At 50.4% G+C, this 16,143-nt stretch overlaps 1 protein-coding gene, 1 non-coding gene and 1 pseudogene across 10 annotated transcripts, besides 3 other annotated features; 2 read left to right on the plus strand and 1 right to left on the minus strand.

Moving 5' to 3' along the window:
• Positions 1–543: 543 nt before the first annotated feature.
• Positions 544–9,353, minus strand: FBXL12 (F-box and leucine rich repeat protein 12). Of its 9 annotated transcripts, none has more exons than NM_001316939.2 (4): positions 9,028–9,353; positions 8,819–8,891; positions 3,505–3,548; positions 544–1,991 (listed from the first exon to the last, which is right to left on the minus strand). In NM_001316939.2, the coding sequence occupies exon 4, from the start codon at positions 1,989–1,991 to the stop codon at positions 1,170–1,172; it is 822 nt and encodes a 273-aa protein (NP_001303868.1). In that variant the 5' UTR covers positions 3,505–3,548; positions 8,819–8,891; positions 9,028–9,353; the 3' UTR covers positions 544–1,169. The 9 variants fall into 9 exon arrangements, with proteins under 9 accessions (NP_001303868.1, NP_001303871.1, NP_001303867.1 ...); NM_001316942.2 differs by lacking the exon at positions 3,505–3,548 and adding an exon at positions 4,846–4,943; NM_001316938.2 differs by having other exon boundaries at positions 9,002–9,353.
• Positions 8,845–9,004: a silencer, noted in NCBI's record as "silent region_10044". NCBI's record gives its function as "represses an Ori minimal core promoter by ATAC-STARR-seq in GM12878 lymphoblastoid cells {active_cell/tissue: GM12878}" and the evidence as "EXISTENCE:reporter gene assay evidence [ECO:0000049][PMID:35858748]".
• Positions 9,455–9,544: a silencer, noted in NCBI's record as "silent region_10045". NCBI's record gives its function as "represses an Ori minimal core promoter by ATAC-STARR-seq in GM12878 lymphoblastoid cells {active_cell/tissue: GM12878}" and the evidence as "EXISTENCE:reporter gene assay evidence [ECO:0000049][PMID:35858748]".
• Positions 9,765–9,914: a silencer, noted in NCBI's record as "silent region_10046". NCBI's record gives its function as "represses an Ori minimal core promoter by ATAC-STARR-seq in GM12878 lymphoblastoid cells {active_cell/tissue: GM12878}" and the evidence as "EXISTENCE:reporter gene assay evidence [ECO:0000049][PMID:35858748]".
• Positions 10,228–10,368, plus strand: LOC124900430 (small nucleolar RNA SNORA70). The gene has a single exon (XR_007067385.1). It is a non-coding gene; the product is annotated as a small nucleolar RNA SNORA70 (small nucleolar RNA).
• On the plus strand, positions 10,415–10,792 carry RPL10P15 (ribosomal protein L10 pseudogene 15; annotated as a pseudogene).

Here is a 16,143-nt window from a genome sequence, read left to right on the forward strand (position 1 = left end):
CAACCATGCAAGTATGCCTCCATCACGTGACCCTGGTGTACTGGCTCAGAGTCTCCAAAATTACAACATGGTGGCCGAGCGCAGTGGCTCACACCTGTAATTCCAGCACTTTGGGAGGCCGAGGTGAGCAGATCACGAGGTCAGGAGTTTGAGACCAGCCTGACCAACATGGTGAAACCCCATCTCTACTAAAGATACAAAAATTAGCTGGGCGTGGTGGCGGGTGCCTGTAATCCCAGCTACTTGGGAGGCTGAGGCAGGAGAATCACTTGAACCCGGGAGACGGAGGTTGCAGTGAGCCAAGATCGCACCACTGCACTCCAGCCTGGGTGACAGAGTGAGACTCTGTCCCCACACAAAAAAACTAAAGCATGGACTGGCTTACCTGTTTGTTGTCCTGTCTTCTCCTCTATGAGATCTACGAGGGCAGGGTCTTGTCAGTTTTGTTCACTGTGGTGGCCCAGTTTCCCAGAACCTAGAACAGTGCCTGCAAAATAGCAGAAGCTCAAGAAAGATTGGTTGAATGAATAAACTGAATACTTCTCGGGAAAAAAAAATGATTTTTTTCTTTAATAGTAAAATAATATACGTCTTGGAAAATACAGCATACAAAATACAGAAAATATAATTGAGCACTTTTATGAGCATATCGATCATTGAATCGCGAGTCTGCATCGCCTATCTCTCCGCGTCTCTTGCGTGCGTGTAGGTATATAAATGGTGTATAGGCTTGTGGGTGTGCATGCATAGACAGTCCTTCTTGGGTACTCATAAGGGGGCTCAGACCCTCAGGTGCCCCTGAGTCTTAACCCCACCCCTTCTTCATCCGTCCTGTTCCTGAAGACGACCATGAAGGTGACTCTTCATTGAGAGCCTCTGGAGGCTGGGAGCTTTTAGAGTAAGGCTTTGCAATGTAACCGTGAGGTAGCTATGATCATCCTTATTTCCAGATGTGGGAACTAGGCTTCCCAGAGGCTGATGATATGACCAAGGCCACACAGCTGGCAAACAGTGATTCCAATGGTCTGGAGGTCCCTAGGCCTCTGTTCTCTCAACCTGGGGCTTTCAGTTTCCTCAAGTCTGATTATCTGCCCTCTTCAAGGTGCTGCTCAGAGGGTCTGGGGCTCAATGATGAAAACTGGGATGGGTCCCAAGGGCAGGTGGAGTAGTTACATCCACCAGTCCATAGACTCTTTGGGGCAAGCCCTGACGATGACCATACAGTGGGGCAGCCCCTTACACAGGATCTTCTCCGCCTCCTGACCCTCCCACCCCAGCCCCTGCAGCTCAAGGACTCTGAGCTTGGGCATAGTGAGGCAGGAGGAGAGGATTTCAGTGGGGGAGGGCATTTCTGGGGTGACGAGGGGACCCTGCAGGCACAGACTCTCCAGGGCCGGCATTCCCTCCAGCACAGCCAGGCCAGGGGCAGAGAGGCCCCTCACGGTCAGCCGGATCTTGCGCACATCTCGGAGGTGGCGGCTGATGGCCAGCAGGGTGCTGTCGGCAGACAGGGTGCAGCCCAGCACCTCAAGCCTCTGCAGATAGCTGAGCTCCTGCAGGCCAGCATCCAGCCCTGTCTCGGTCACACGGTAGGTACCACCCAGCACCAGCGAGCGCAAGGCCCGGAAGCGCGTCAGGCCCTGCAGGTGCTCGTCACGGAAGGCGGGGACGCGGTCCAGCACGATGCATTCAAGCAGGGGCAGCACGGTGGGGTCCTGCTGCTTGTGGAGCCAGGCCATGGAGATCTCGCAGCTGTGCAGCTCCAGGGTCCTCAAGGTGCTGGGCAGGCTGGTGATGGGCACCATGCTCAGGTCGGCCACGTGCAGGCAGAGGCGCTTCAGGTTGGGGCACTTCTGGCCCAGGGCTCTCAACAGAGCAGGGGACAACTGGGGGGCCTGGGAGCCAGAGAACAGGTAGCCACCCATCCGCAGGGAATGGAGCCGGGATGCCATGTACCTTCGAAGGAGGTGCCACATGACTTTAGGTCGCATCTGTAAGAGCCAGAGATTGGGGTGACAGAGTGAGAGGTATGGAGCTTCCAAGGCCCCTGCTGGGCTGGAGACACACAACCCCGGGGTGGGGGATTCTGGTGCCCTGCTGGGCTTCTGCCCTTGCCTAGCCAGTCTCCTCCCCAGGTTCAACCTCCCCAGGTTCAACCAGATGGTTTGAGTGCACCATCTTGCCTGCTAGGGCTTTGAACAAATCTTTTTTTTTTTTTTTTTTTCTGAGACAGGTTCTTGCTCTGTCACCCAGTCTACAGTGCAGTGGTGAGATAATGGCTCACTGCAGCCTGGACCTCCTAGGCTCAAGTGATTCTCCCACTTCAGCTTCCCAAGTGGCTGGGACTTCTGACACATGCCCAGCTAATTTTTGTGATTTTTAGTAGAGATGAGGTCTTGCTATGTTGCCCAGGCTGGTCTCCAACTCCTGGATTCAAGCAATCCTCCCATCTCAGCCCCTCAAAGTGCTGGGTCTACAGTCGTGAGCCACTGCACTCGGCCACTTAGAATAAATCTGGTAGGGGCTGGGCACAGTGGCTCATGCCTGTAATCCCAGCACTTTGGGAGGCTGAGGTGGATGGATCATTTGAGGTCAGGAGTTTAATACCAGCCTGGCCAACATGGTGAAACCATGTTTCTACTAAAAATACAAAAATTAGCTGGGCGTGGTGGCAAGCACCTGTAATCCCAGCTACTCAAGAGGCTGAGGCAAGAGAATCACTTGAACCCAGGAGACAAAGGTTGCAGTGAGTCGATATCGCACCACTGCACTCCAGCCTGGGCGATAGAGTGAGACTCTGTCTCAAAAAAAAAAAAAAAAAAAAAAAAAGATAAATCTGGTAGGGGAAAAAAAGATACTAACAGAATCTATCTTTAGCAATAAATTTTTACCGTTTTTTCTGGACTAAGAAAAAGAGCAGAGCAACCCATTGATATTTTACCCCTTTCTTAATGATCACCTCCAGTAGAAATAAGCAACACAGAATAAAATTTTAAAAGCCGAAAACTACCCAGAGTAAATTAGGTCTATGTTAAAAAAAAAAAAAAAAAAACAACAAATGAAAAGGCTGGGCACGGTGGCTCACACCTGTAATCCCAGCACTTTGGGAGGCCAAGGCGGGCAGATCACCTGAGGTCAGGAGTTCAAGACCAGCCTGACCAACATGGAGAAACCCCGTCTCTACTAAAAATACAAAATTAGCCAGGTGTGGTGGTGCACGCCTGTAATCCCAGCTACTTGGGAGGCTGAGGCAGGAGAATCACTTGAACCTGGGAAGCAGAGGCTGCGATGAGCCAAGATCGTGCCGTTGCACCAGCCTGGGCAACAAGAGCGAAACTCCATGTCAAAAAAAAAAATATATCAAAGCCTGGTAGAGTGGAAGCTGCAAAAATCAACCCTGGGAAGTTAGACTTAGTAGAAAATAAAAAATATATATAATTGATAGCACTGGGCATTTCATTCTAAGTACAGTTTATCTTAAAAAGAAAAAGTTAGCATGCTTACATCTGCCTTTTATTGCTGGATTTCTCTACTTGGCATCATAGGGCCTAATGGAAAAAGGAAAATTGTCTAATAACATATTCTTTATGTGTGCTTACAAAGGTGTTTCTTTTCTTTTCTTTTTTTTTGAGACGGAGTTTTGCTTGTTGCCCAGGCTGGAGTGCAATGGCACGATCTCAGTCACCGCAACCTCCGCCTCCTGGGTTCAAGCGATTCTCGTGCCTTAGCCTCCTGAGTAGCTGGGATTACAGGCATGTGCCACCATGCCCGGCTAATTTTTTTTTTTTTTTTTGAGACAGAGTCTCGCTCTGTTGCCCAGGCTGGAGTGCAGTAGCGCAATCTCGGCTCACTGCAATCTCCACCTCCCAGGTTCAAGCAATTCTCCTGCTTCAGCCTCCCAAGTAGCTGGTACTACAGGCGTATGCCACCATGCCCGGCTATGTTTTTTTTGTATTTTTAGTAGAGACGCGGTTTCACCATGTTAGCCAGGATGGTCTCAATCTCCTGACCTCGTGATCCAACCACCTTGGCCTCCCAAGGTGCTGGGATTACAGGCATGAGCCACGCGCCTGGCCTTAATTTTGTATTTTTAGTAGAGACAGGGTTTCTCCATGTAGGTCAGGCTGGTCTCAAACACCCGACCTCAAGTGATCTGTCCACCTCGGCCTCCCAAAGTGCTGGGATTACAGGCATGAGCCACTGCACCCGGCCAAAAAGGTGTTTCTACATCAAACTCTTCCATTCACTGAAGAAAATAGCTTATCATCAATCCTTCAGAAAGCATGCTTACATTTGCCTTTTATACATGCATATATATACCCATGTAATACAAACTGTATTAGTCTATTTTCATGCTGCTGATAAAAACATACCTGAGACTGGGAAGAAAAAGAGGTTTAATTGGACTTACAGTTCCACATGGCTGGGGAGGCCTCAAAATCATGGCAGGAGGTGAAAGGCACTTCTTACATGGCGGCAGCAAGAGAAAATGAGAAAGAAGCCCGGGCGCAGTGGCTCATGCCCATAATCCCAGCACTTTGGAAGGCCGATGCGGGCGGATCACGAGGTCAGGAGATTGAGACCATCCTGGCCAACATGACAAAACCCCGTTTCTACTAAAATACAAAAAAAAATTAGCCGAGTGTGGTGGTGCATGCCTGTAGTCCCAGCTACTAAGGAGGCTGAGGTAGGAGAATCGCTTGAACACGGGAGGCAGAGGTTCCAGTGAACTGAGATCGCACCACTGCACTCCAGCCTGGTGGCAGAACAAGACTCCGACTCAAAGAAAAATAAATAAATTAATTTAAAAAATACAAAAAATTAGCTCAGTGTGGTGGCACGTGCCTGTAGTCCCAGCTTCTCAGGAGGCTGAGGCAGGGGAATCACTTGAACCCAGGAGGCAGAGGTTGCAGTGAGCTGAGATCATACCACTGCACTCCAGCCTGGCAACAGAGCAAGACTCCATCTCAAAAAAAAAAAAAAAAAAAAAATTAAGAAAACGAGAACAAAGCAAAAATGGAAACCCCTGATAAACCCATCAGATCTCTTGAGATTTATTCACTATCACGAGAATAGCATGGGAAAGACCAGCCCCCAAGATTCAATTATTTCCCCTGGGTCCCTCTCACAACACATGGGAATTCTGGGAAATACAATTCAAGTTGAGATTTGGGTGGGGACACAGCCAAACTATATCATTCCACCCCGGCCCCTCCAAGTCTCATGTCTTCACATTTCACAACCAATCATGGCTTCCCAACAGTCTTCCAAAGTCTTAACTCATTTCAGCATTAACCCAAAAGTCCACAGTCCAAAGTCTCATCTGAGACAAGGCAAGTCCCTTCCACCTATGAGCCTATAAAATCAAAAGCTAGCTAGTTACTTCCTAGATACAATGTGAGTACAGGTATTGGGTAAATGCAGCCATTCCAAATGGGAGAAATTGGCCAAAACAAAGGGGTTACAGGGCCCATGCAAGTCTGAAATCCAGTGGGGCAGTCAAATTTTAAAGCTCCAAAATTATCTCCTTTGATTCCAGGTCTCACAACCAGGTCACACTGATGCAAGAGGTGGGTTCCCATGGTCTTGGCCAGCTCCGCCCCTTGTGGCTTTACAGGGTACAGCCTCCCTCCCAGCTGCTTTCACAGGCTGGTGTTGAGTGTCTGAAGCTTTTCCAGGTGCATGGTGCAAGCTGTGGGTGGATCTACCATTCTGGAGTCTGGAGAACAGTGGCCCTCTTCTCACAGCTCCACTAGGCAGTGACCCAATAGGGACTCTGTGTGGGGGCTCTGACCCCACATTTCCCTTCCACACTGCCCTAGCAGAGGTTCTCCATGAGGGCCCCACCCCTGTAGCAAACTTTTGCCTGGACATCCAGGCATTTCCACACATCTTCTGAAATCTAGGCAGAGGTTCCTAAACTTCAATTCTTTTTTTTTTTTTTTGAGATGGAGTTTCGCTCTTGTCACCCAGGCTGGAATGCAATGGCACGATCTTGAGTCACTGCAACCTTTGCCTCCCGGGTTCAAGCGATTCTCCTGCCTCAGCCTCCCGAGTAGCTGGGATTACAAGCATGCGCCACCACGCATTTGTTGTATTTTTAGTAGAGATGGGGTTTCACCATGTTGGCCAGGCTGGTCTTGAACTCCTGACCTCAAGTGATCCGCCTGCCTTGGCCTCCCAAAGTGCTGGGATTATAGGCGTGAGCCACTGTGCCTGGCCCTGAACCTCAGTTCTTGGCTTCTGTGCACCAGCAGGCTCAAGACCATGTGGAAGCTGCCAAGACTTGGGGCTTCCACCCTCTGAAGCCACAGCCCGAGTTATACGTTGGCCCCTTTCAGCTACAGCTGGAGCAGCTAGGGCACAGGACACCAAGTCCCAGGGTGAACATAGCACAGGGACCCTGGGCCCCCAGGAAACCACTTTTTCCTCCTGGGCTTCCAGGCCTGAGATGGGAGGGGCTGCCGTGAAGGTCTCTGACATGGCCTGGAGACATTTTCCCCATGGTCCTAATTAGGTTCCTTGCTACTTATGCAAATTTCTGCATCTGGCTTGAATTTCTCCCTAGAAAATGGGTTTTTCTTTTCTATCACATAGTCAGGCTACAAATTTTCCAAACTTTTCTGCTCTGCTTCCCCTATAAAACTGAATACCTTTAACAGTACCCAAGTCACCTCTTGAATGCTTTGCCACTTAGAAATTTCTTCCACTAGATACCCTAAAACATCTTTCTCAAGTTCAAAGTTCCACAAATCTCTAGGGCAGGGGCAAAATGCCATCAGTCTCTCTGCTAAAACATAACAAGAGTCACCTTTACTCCAGTTCCCAACAAGTTTCTCATCTCCATCTGAGACCACCTCAGCCTGGACCTTATTGATCATACCACTATCAGCATTTTGGGCAAAGTCACTCAACAAGTCTCTAGGAAGTTCCAAACTTTCCCACATTTTCCTGTCTTCTTTTGAGCCCCCCATACTGTTCCAACCTCTGACTGTTACCCAGTTCCAAAGATGCTTCTACATTTTTGGGTATCTTTTCAGCAACGCCCCACTTACCGCTACCAATTTACAGTATTAGTCTGTTTTCACACTGCTGCTAAAGACATACCTGAGACTGGGAAGAAAAAGAGGTTTAATTGAACTTAAGTTCCACATGGCTGGGGAGGCCTCAAAATCATGGCGGGAGGTGAAAGGCGCTTCTTAACATGTTGATGGCAAAAGAAAATGAGAAAGAAGCAAAAAAGGAAACCCCTGATAAACCCATCAGATCTTGTGAGACTTATTCACTATCACAAGAATAGCATGGGAAAGACTGGCCCCATGATTCAATTACTTTCCCCGGGTCCCTCCCACAACACGTGGGAATTCTGGGAGATAGAATTCAAGTTGAGATTTGGGTGGGGACACAGCCAAACCATATCATGAACCAAGAGAGAAAGAAACATGTTTTAATGAATCTTCTCAGGCGGCTGAGGCAGGAAGATGGCTTGAGCCCAGGAGATGGAGGTTGCAGTATGTTATGATTTTGCCACTGCCTGGGTGACAGAGTGAGATCCATCTCAAAAAAATAAATTAGAAAAAGATAAACTGCAGAGCATAAATGTTATGGGCTACTTTTGACAGAGGAATCAAATCTTCCTTGCCAAATTTAGACCCGTGTGGGTCAGCAGAAATTGACTAGAAATAGTGGCCACCGAATGGTAACTCACAAGGGTAGCAGTTAAAGTTGGTAAAATTTTAAATGCACACAAAACCAATGGACGAATCAACTTTTCCTCGCAAAACCAACAACTAAGTTTCAACAACTGAGAAAAAGTTTCATATTATCAGGCCAGACACTGTGGCTCACACCTGTAATCCCAGCACTTTGGGAGACTGAGGTTGGGGGACAGCTTCAGTCCAGGAGTTCGAGACCATCCTGGGCAACATAGCAAGACTCTGTCCTTAAAAAAAGAACTTCAAAAGCAACTGTATTAAAGGGAGTTACAGATGGATATATACAGTAAAATTGTTTAAAAGTAGAACACTATCTAAATAGTAGAACAGCATTACCCGAAGTTCAGAAATACATTACTAACACTATAATTGTTTTTGGACACACACATATGAAGTAACGTAAAAGGAAGGGTGCAAATTCACTTTATAATAGCAATTATCTATGAAGACAGTTTCAAAAAGGGCAACAAATATATCTATAAATGTTTTGAGCCAGTTGCTGTGGCTCATGCCTGTAATCTGAACACTTTGGGAGGCTAAGTCGGGAGAATCACTTGAGCCCAGGAGTTCGAGACCAGCCTGGGCAGCATAGTGAGACTCCGTCTCTACAAAAAATAAAAAATTAGCAGGTGTAGTGGCGAGCGCCCGTGGTTCCAGCTACTCAGGAGGCTGATGCGAGAGGATCGCTTGAGCTTGGGAGGTCGAGGCTGCAATCGCACCACTGCACTCCAGCCTGAGCAGCAGAGCGAGACTCTGTCTCAAAAACAAAACAAAAACTTGATAACATAGTCATAAATTAGCATTTATCGAATGATAAATATGTGCCAGACTGTTCTAAGCCCTTTCCCTGCGTGATCTCAGTGAAGTCCCATAATAGCCCCGTGAGGCAGGTACTGTCCTTTATCCCCATTGCAGGGATGAGGAAATTGAGGCCCTGAGGTCGAAGAGGAGCTGGTAAGCGATGATGCCGAGATAGGCCCCGGATCGCCTGGCTCTAAATCCCCAGCCCGGGCCCCGACACACAGTCCCAGGGTGGGAGAGGTGGTCTTCGGGGTCCGGGCACCGCGACCGCGGCCCAGGCCCGCCCGGCCAGCTGCGCGTACCGTGTAGAGCGTCAGGTCGACATGTCGCCACAGCCACCGGTCGTCCACCAGCCTCTTCCAGCGGTGACAGACCCTGGGGGAGGGGACGCGCGGTTAGAACGACCCCAGCCCCGGGCCACATCGCATCTCCAGGTGCCAGCTGCGCCCTCCGCCCTGCCCTTCCCCCCGGAGGCGGGGCCGCACCTGGAGATGCGGATCCGGTCCCGTACCGGGAGGTAAGAGAAGATCTCGAGCAGGACCGAGTCCGGCAGTTCGACCAAAGTCGCCATGATCCCGCCGACACGCACTTCCGCTTCCGGTTAAAGAGACCCGAGGGGTCCTGGGGGCGCCGAGGCGGCTGACAGGGCGGCGGCCGCGACCTTCCCGTAGCCGGTCGAGAAATTTGACCTTCCTCTCGCTGGGAAGTGATTCGGTCCCAGGGCCGGACCAGCCGCGGATGGGGACCAGAAACCAGCCTGGAAAGCGTGGCTGAGGCAGTGAGAGGCTTGCGGGAGGTGGCTGAGGCGTGATTTGGCCGCGACTGGGAACTAAGACCAAGTCCAGAAGGCGGGGCTGGAGTGAGGCGAAGCTCGGAGGCGGGGCTAGAGACGAGGACCAAGTCCGGAAGGCGTGGCCGGGGTGGGGTGAGGATCGGAGGCGGGGCTAGAGACCAGGACCAAGTCCGGAAGGCGTGGCTGGGGTGGGGCGAGGATCGGAGGCGGGGCTAGAGACGGGGACCAAGTCCGGAAGGCGTGGCTGGGGAGGGGCGAGACCCGGGGACGGGGCTAGAGGCGAGGCCCAAGCCCGGAAGGCGTCGCTGGAGTTGGGCGAGGCTCAGGGGCGGAGCCAGAGAACGGAACCAAGTCCAGAAGGCGGGGCTGGGGCGCGGCTAGGGGGCGGGGCTAGAGACGAGGACCAAGTCCAGAAGGCGTGGCTGGGGTGGGGCGAGGATCAAGCCCGGAAGGCGCGGCTGGAGCGGGGCGAGGCCTAGGTGGGGCTGCAGACGAGAACCACGCCTTGGAGGCGTGGCTAGGGCGGGTAGAGGCTCGGACAACCGCTGGAAGGCGGGGCTGGGGCGGGGCGAGACCTTGGGGGCGGGGTTGACGACGAGGACCTAGCCGAGAGGTCGTGGTCTGGACGGAAACCAGGCTGCAGCAGGACCAGGCGCCAAGGGCGTGGCTGGGGAGCGATGGAGACGCTCGGAAGGTGGGGAGCGGGGGACGGAGACAGGGAGAAGACTACGCCATGAAGGCGTGGTTGAGGCGGGGCGAGGCCTGTGGGTCTGGCCCCGAGCGAATGGCTTGGTAGAGAGTCAGAGAACTCTATTTTTTTACTTAATGATGCTTCTTGATGTCTATGCACAAGGATAAATTTGTATTACTGGAATATCGTGGCCAAAGGACCTGTTGAATTTTTCACTTTCATTGATACTACAGATATTTTCTGAATTGGCAAGTCCACCAAGAAACTATAAAAATGTGTGTGTGCAATGGCTGCACACAGCAGCTTCCTTGGTAGTGTACGCAGCCTGTTGGTTGTATGGGTTGCTCTAAGGGACCTTGGAGACAGGCCTTTCCGATGGATGTTCATGTTTCTAACCTTGCACTACCACAATGTAGGCTCCAAACAGGCATGTGAGGTGCCTTTGGAAAGCCCCAGGGCACTGTGGCCAGGGTTGACATTGGCCAAGTTATCATGTCCATCCGCACCAAGCTGCAGAACAAGGAGCATGCGATTGAGGCCTTGCGCAGGGCCAAGTTCAAGTTTCCTGGCCGCCAGAAGATCTACATCTCAAAGAAGTGGGGCTTCACCAAGTTCAATGCTGATGAATTTGAAGACATGGTGGCTGAGAAGCGGCTCATCCCAGATGGCTGTGGGGTCAAGTACATCCCCAATCGTGGCCCTCTGGACAAGTGGCTGGCCCTGCACTCATGAGGGCTTCCAATGTGCTGCCCCCCCTATTAATACTCACCAATAAATTCTACTTCCTGTCCAAAAAAAAAAATGTGTGTGTGTGTGTGTGTGTGTGTGTGTGTATATATATATATATATATATATACACACACACACACACACGCACGCCTCCTGAAGCCAGGAGGCGGAGATTGCAGTGACCTGAGATCGCGCCACCACACTCCAGCCTGAGTGACAGAGCGAAACTCCGTCTCAAAAAAAAAAAAAAAGAATATGAAAGAGATTGTGGAGGTTGCAGTGAGCCCAGATCGCGCCACTGCACTCCAGCCTGTGCGACGGGTGCGAGACTCCATCTCAAAAAAAAAAAAAAATCATGTTACTGCAAAGGACATGATTTCATTATCTTTTTTTTTTTTTAAATTTGGGACAGGGTCTCTCTCTGTCACCCAGTCTGGAGTGCAGTGGCGAAATTATAGCTCACTGCAGCCTTAACCTCTGGGGCTCAAGTGATCCGATCCTTCCACCTCAGTCTCCCGAGTAGCTGGGACTGTAGGCACATGCCAACACGCCCGGCTAATTTTTGTTTTGTTTTTTGAGATGAAGTCTTGCTGCATCACCCAGGCTGGAGTGCAGTGGCACAATCTCGGCTCACTGCAACCTCCGCCTCCCAGGTTCAAGTGATTCTCCTGCCTCAGCCTCCCGAGTAGCTGGGACTACAGGCGCCCGCCACCATGTCCGGCTAATTTTTATGTTTTTAGTAGAGATCAGGTTTCACTATATTGGCCAGGCTGGTCTCAAACTTCTGACCTCAGGTGATCCACCTGCCTCAGCTTCCCAGAATGCTGGGATTACAGGTGTGAGCCACTGCGCCCGGCTAATTTTTGTATTTTTTTCTAGAGCCGGGGTTTTGCCATGTTGCTCAGGCTGGTCTTGAACTCCTGGGCTCAAGTTCTTCCTGCCTCAGCCTCCCAAAGTACTAGGATTACAGGCGTGAGCCACCACGCCCAGCTGATTGCATTTTTTTTATGGCTGCATTACGTGTGTCTTCTTGGCTTGTTGCCCTCCTATATCAGACTGAATTCTGGGGTGGCAGGTGGGACTTGTGCACCCCGGCCCTGCTGAGGTGCTCAGGTAATGGGGGGAGGAAACTCCTATGCCCCTCCCTCCACCCCTAAGATTATTTCCCTTCTTGTGAACTCTGGCAGGGGAAGGGGAGTGCCTCTAAGTTTGGCAGAACCCAGGTGTCCCTTCCCTGCCATCCCTACTCAGTTACAGGGGGTTCCTGCACCACCAGCATACAGGGCTGGAGAGAGGGAAGTAGTCAGGTGAGAGCAAAAGAAACCCACATACAAGCTCCTTCCTCTGGGCCAGGAACCCAAGAAGCAAGGGGGGAGAAGAAGCCTCCCCAGCTTGCTCCTTGGGTCTTGACCCAAAACTCTACCTCCTGGGAAGTATCCACCTCCCCCAAGGAAAAGCGGCTGTGAGAACAGCAGATCTTCCTACAGCAGGCTAGGTCTCCATGTGCAACCACAGCAGTGAGCCTTCACCAACACCTTGTGGTAGCTCTGATGAATACGTAAGTTAAATATTAAAGACCTGGAAAAACTGGGGCCTTCGAGCAAGGGCTAGAAGGTAAAACAAAGTCCTTAAGACCCTGCCTGGGTTTTCTCAGAACTTAAGAGTTCAGTTAAAATAATGGAGGCATTCTTACATACCTCGTAAACCTTGTACCAGGATCCACTTTATTTTTTAAAATTTACTTTCTTTTCTTTATTATTTTGAGACAGAGTTTCGCTCTTGTTGCCCAGGCTGGAGTGCAGTGGCACGATCTCGGCTCACTGCAACCTCCACCTCCCGGGTTCAAGCCATTCTCCTGCCTCAGCCTCCCGAGTTGCTGGGATTTAAGGCATGCGCCACCATGCCCAGCTAATTTTGTATTTTTAGTAGAGATGGGGTTTCACCATGTTGGTCAGACTGGTTTCGAACTCCTGACCTCAGGTGATAGCTGATCCGCCCACCTCGGCCTCCCAAAGTGGTGGGATTACAGGTGTGAGCCACTGTGCCCAGCCTTTTTTTTTTTTTTGAGAGAGTCCGACTCTGTCCCCCAGGCTGGAGTGTAGTGGTGTGATCTCGGCTCACTGCAACCTTTGCCTCCTGAGTTCAAGTGATTCTCCTGCCTCAGCCTCCCAGGTAGCTGAAACTACAGGTATGTGCCACCACACCTGGTTAATTTTTGTATTTTTAGTAGAGACAGGGTTTTGCCATGTTGCCCAGGCTGGTCTTGAACTCCTGACTTCAGGTGATCTACCACCTTGGTCTCCCAGTGTTGGGATTACAGGTGTGATGTAATGGCACCCGGCCCCATTTTCCTCTTCTCTCAGCAGCACTTCCCATCCCTTTCCCAACTCCTCGCCCCACAGCTCAGCACCAAGACCCTGTGCTTGGCAGATCTTTGAATCAAGCACTGAGAAATTAGAACATTTTGAAAAAGCAAACATTTCCTTTTCCACCCCCGGTGATTACAAAAGTAACATATGTTCTGTGTCAGAAATCTGGAAAAACACCACGAAGAGGGAAAATGAGGCCGGGTGTGGTCGCTCATGCCTGTAATTCCAGCACTTTGGGAGGATCACTTGAGGCCAGGAGTTTGAGACCAGCCAGGGCAACATAGTGAGACTGTCTCTCCAAAAATTAAAAAAATCAGCCAGGCGTGGTGGTGCACGCCTGAAGTCCCAGGAGGTGAGTCCCCTTGAGTCCAGGAATTGGAGGCTGCAGTGAGCTATAATTGTGCCACTGCACTCCAGCCTGGGTGACAGAGCAAGACACTGTCTCAAAAAAAAATTAAAAAATTAAAAAATTAAAAAAAAAAAAGAAGGGAGAATGAGACTCTCAGTAATCCTACCATGAAGTGGTAACTACAGTCAATGCTTGTGTGACCCTGCATTTCTTTGTTTTCAAACAGTCTCACTCTGTTGCCCAGGCTGGAGTGCAGTGGCATATCTCAGCTCACTGTGACCTCTGCCTCCTGGGTTCAAGCGATTCTCCTGCCTCAGCCTCCTGCGTAGCTAGGATTACAGACGCCTGCCACATTTTTGTATTTTTAGTAGAGATGGGGTTTCCCCAATTGGCCAGGCTGGTCTCGAACTCCTGACCTCAAGTGATCCACCCACCTTGGCCTCCCAAAGTGTTGGGATTATAGGTGTGAGCCACCGTGCCTGGCTGTGACCCAGGATTTCTAAGAGAATGCAAAGATGTGCTGCTTCTAAACTTCCTTAGGCACCTCAGCCCCCTCAGCTCACTTTTGACCTTCCAATCTGTTTCATCCCGGCTAGAGTCTCCCCAAAAGCAGAGGCAGGGGAATTCCCACAAAGGAATGCCCTAAATCATCCCAAGATGGGGCCAGTGGGGATTTCAAGAAAACACCAATTACCAGAGCAATCAGTCCAAAGCATTTATTAGGGAAACTTACAGAGTGCTCCAACAATCATCAAGACAGGAACGAAAAGGGGTGTTCTACCGAGGCACAGCTGCAGCTAGGGGGTCAGGACATGGAGTTCAGATGCACAAGTCAGCATGTCTGGTTTCCATTACTATTTTGAGTAATGGGCCACCTGCTGGTCTGGCAGGTGTCAGCTTGACCAAAACAGGATTGTGGATTCTTTCCCTGGGATGGGACGTTCCACAACCTTGGTTTTATATTTAGATTTTCTTTTTTTTGTTTGGTTTCTTTTGGAGACGGAGTCTCACTATGTCTCCCAGGCTGGAGTGTAGTGGCGTGACCTCGGCTCACTGCAGCCTCTGCCCCCCTGGGTTCAAGAGAAGAATTCTCCTGCCTCAGCCTCCCAAGTAGCTGAGACTACAGGCGCAGGCCACCACGCCCGGCTAATTTTTTGTATTTTAGTAGAGACGGGGTTTCAGCGTGTTGCCCAGGCTGGTCTCCAACTCCTGAACTCACACAATCCGCCTGCCTTGGCCTCCCAAAGTGCCAGGATTACAGGTGTGAGCCACCACACCTGGCCTATATTTAGATTTTCAAGGCCAGTTTCTGGAATTTTTAAGCAAAGTACACGGGATAAACATTATGAGACCTTAGCACAGAAAAACAGAAGAGAGGTTGGGTGTGGTTGCTTACACTTGTAATCCCAGCACTTTGGGAGGCCGAGGCAGGCGGATCACCTGAGGTCGGGAGATCAAGACCAGCCTGACCAACATGGAGAAACCCCGTCTCTACCAAAAATACAAAATTAGCTAGGCATGGTGGTGCATGCCTGTAATCCTGGGAGTTTCTCTCTTGTTGCCCAGGCTGGAGTGCAATGGCACCATCTCGACTCACCGCAACCTCCGCCTCCCTGGTTCATGCGATTCTCCTGCCTCAGCCTCCCAAGTGGCTGGGATTACAGGCATGCGCCACCATGCCAGGCTAATTTTGTATTTTTACAAAATTAAAGAGATGGGGTTTCTCCATGTTGGTCAGGCAGGTCTTGAACTCCTGGCCTTAGGTGATCTGCCCACTTTGGCCTCCCAAACTGCTGGGATTACAGGTTTGAGCCACTGCACCTGGCCTTGGAGAATTCTTAAACCACTGTAGCAGTATAGTTCAACGATAGTAAAAGGGGGTTTTAGTCTCTGGATCCTGCCATTCAAAAGCAAATAGGCCGGTTGCGGTGCCTCACGCCTGTAATCCCAGCACTTTGGGAGGTCGAGGTGGGCAGATCACTTGAGGTCAGCAGTTCGAGACCAGCCTGGACAACATGGTGAAATCCTGTCTCTACTAAAAATACAAAAATTAGCTGGGCGTGATGGCATGTGCCTGTAATCCCAGCTACTAAGGAGGCTGAGGCAGGAGAATCGCTTGAACACGGGAGGTTGTGGTGAGCTGAGTTTGTTCCACTGCACTCCAGCCTGGGCAACAGAGCGAGACTCTGCCTCAAAAAAAAAAAAAAAAAAAATTGAGATAGCCTCACTCTGTGTTGCCCAGGATGGAGGGATGGAGTGCAGTGGCGCGATCTCAGCTCACTGCAACCTCCGCCTCCCGTGTTCAAGCGATTCTCCTGCCTCAGCCTCCAGGTAGCTGGGATTACAGGTGCCTGCCACCACACCTGGCTAATTTTTTTTTTTTTTTTTTAATAGAGACGGGGTTTCACCATGTTGGCCAGGCTGGTCTCGAACTCCTGACCTTGTGATCTGCCCACCTCAGCCTCCCAAAGCGCTGGGATTACAGGTGTGAGCCACTGTGCCTAGCCTCAAAAAAAATTTTTTTTTAAAGGCCAGATATCTCCACAGGTAGCTTACTTTATGTTATGGAAAGTGCCAATTTACTGAGCACCAAATGAATACATAATGGAGTATTCTTCATGTAGATTAAATAATGTGACCATACTCTCCCTCTTTCCCCTCCAGCCCACTTTTCCCTTTAAATAATGAAGCCCTCA

The sequence above is a fragment of the Homo sapiens genome, chromosome 19 (genome assembly GCF_000001405.40).
Source record: "Homo sapiens chromosome 19, GRCh38.p14 Primary Assembly".
Taxonomy (NCBI): domain Eukaryota; kingdom Metazoa; phylum Chordata; class Mammalia; order Primates; family Hominidae; genus Homo; species Homo sapiens.

What these genes read in the sequence shown, in the direction of transcription:
- FBXL12 (NM_017703.3), bottom strand. Translation starts at nt 9,087, where the DNA reads ATGGCGACTTTGGTCGAACTGCCGGACTCGGTCCTGCTCGAGATCTTC. An exon ending in GACCGGATCCGCATCTCCAG is followed by an intron (nt 8,892 to 9,001) that starts GTGCGGCCCCGC and finishes CCCCTCCCCCAG; the next exon opens with GGTCTGTCACCGCTGGAAGA. An exon ending in TCGACCTGACGCTCTACACG is followed by an intron (nt 1,992 to 8,818) that starts GTACGCGCAGCT and finishes TGGCTCTTACAG; the next exon opens with ATGCGACCTAAAGTCATGTG.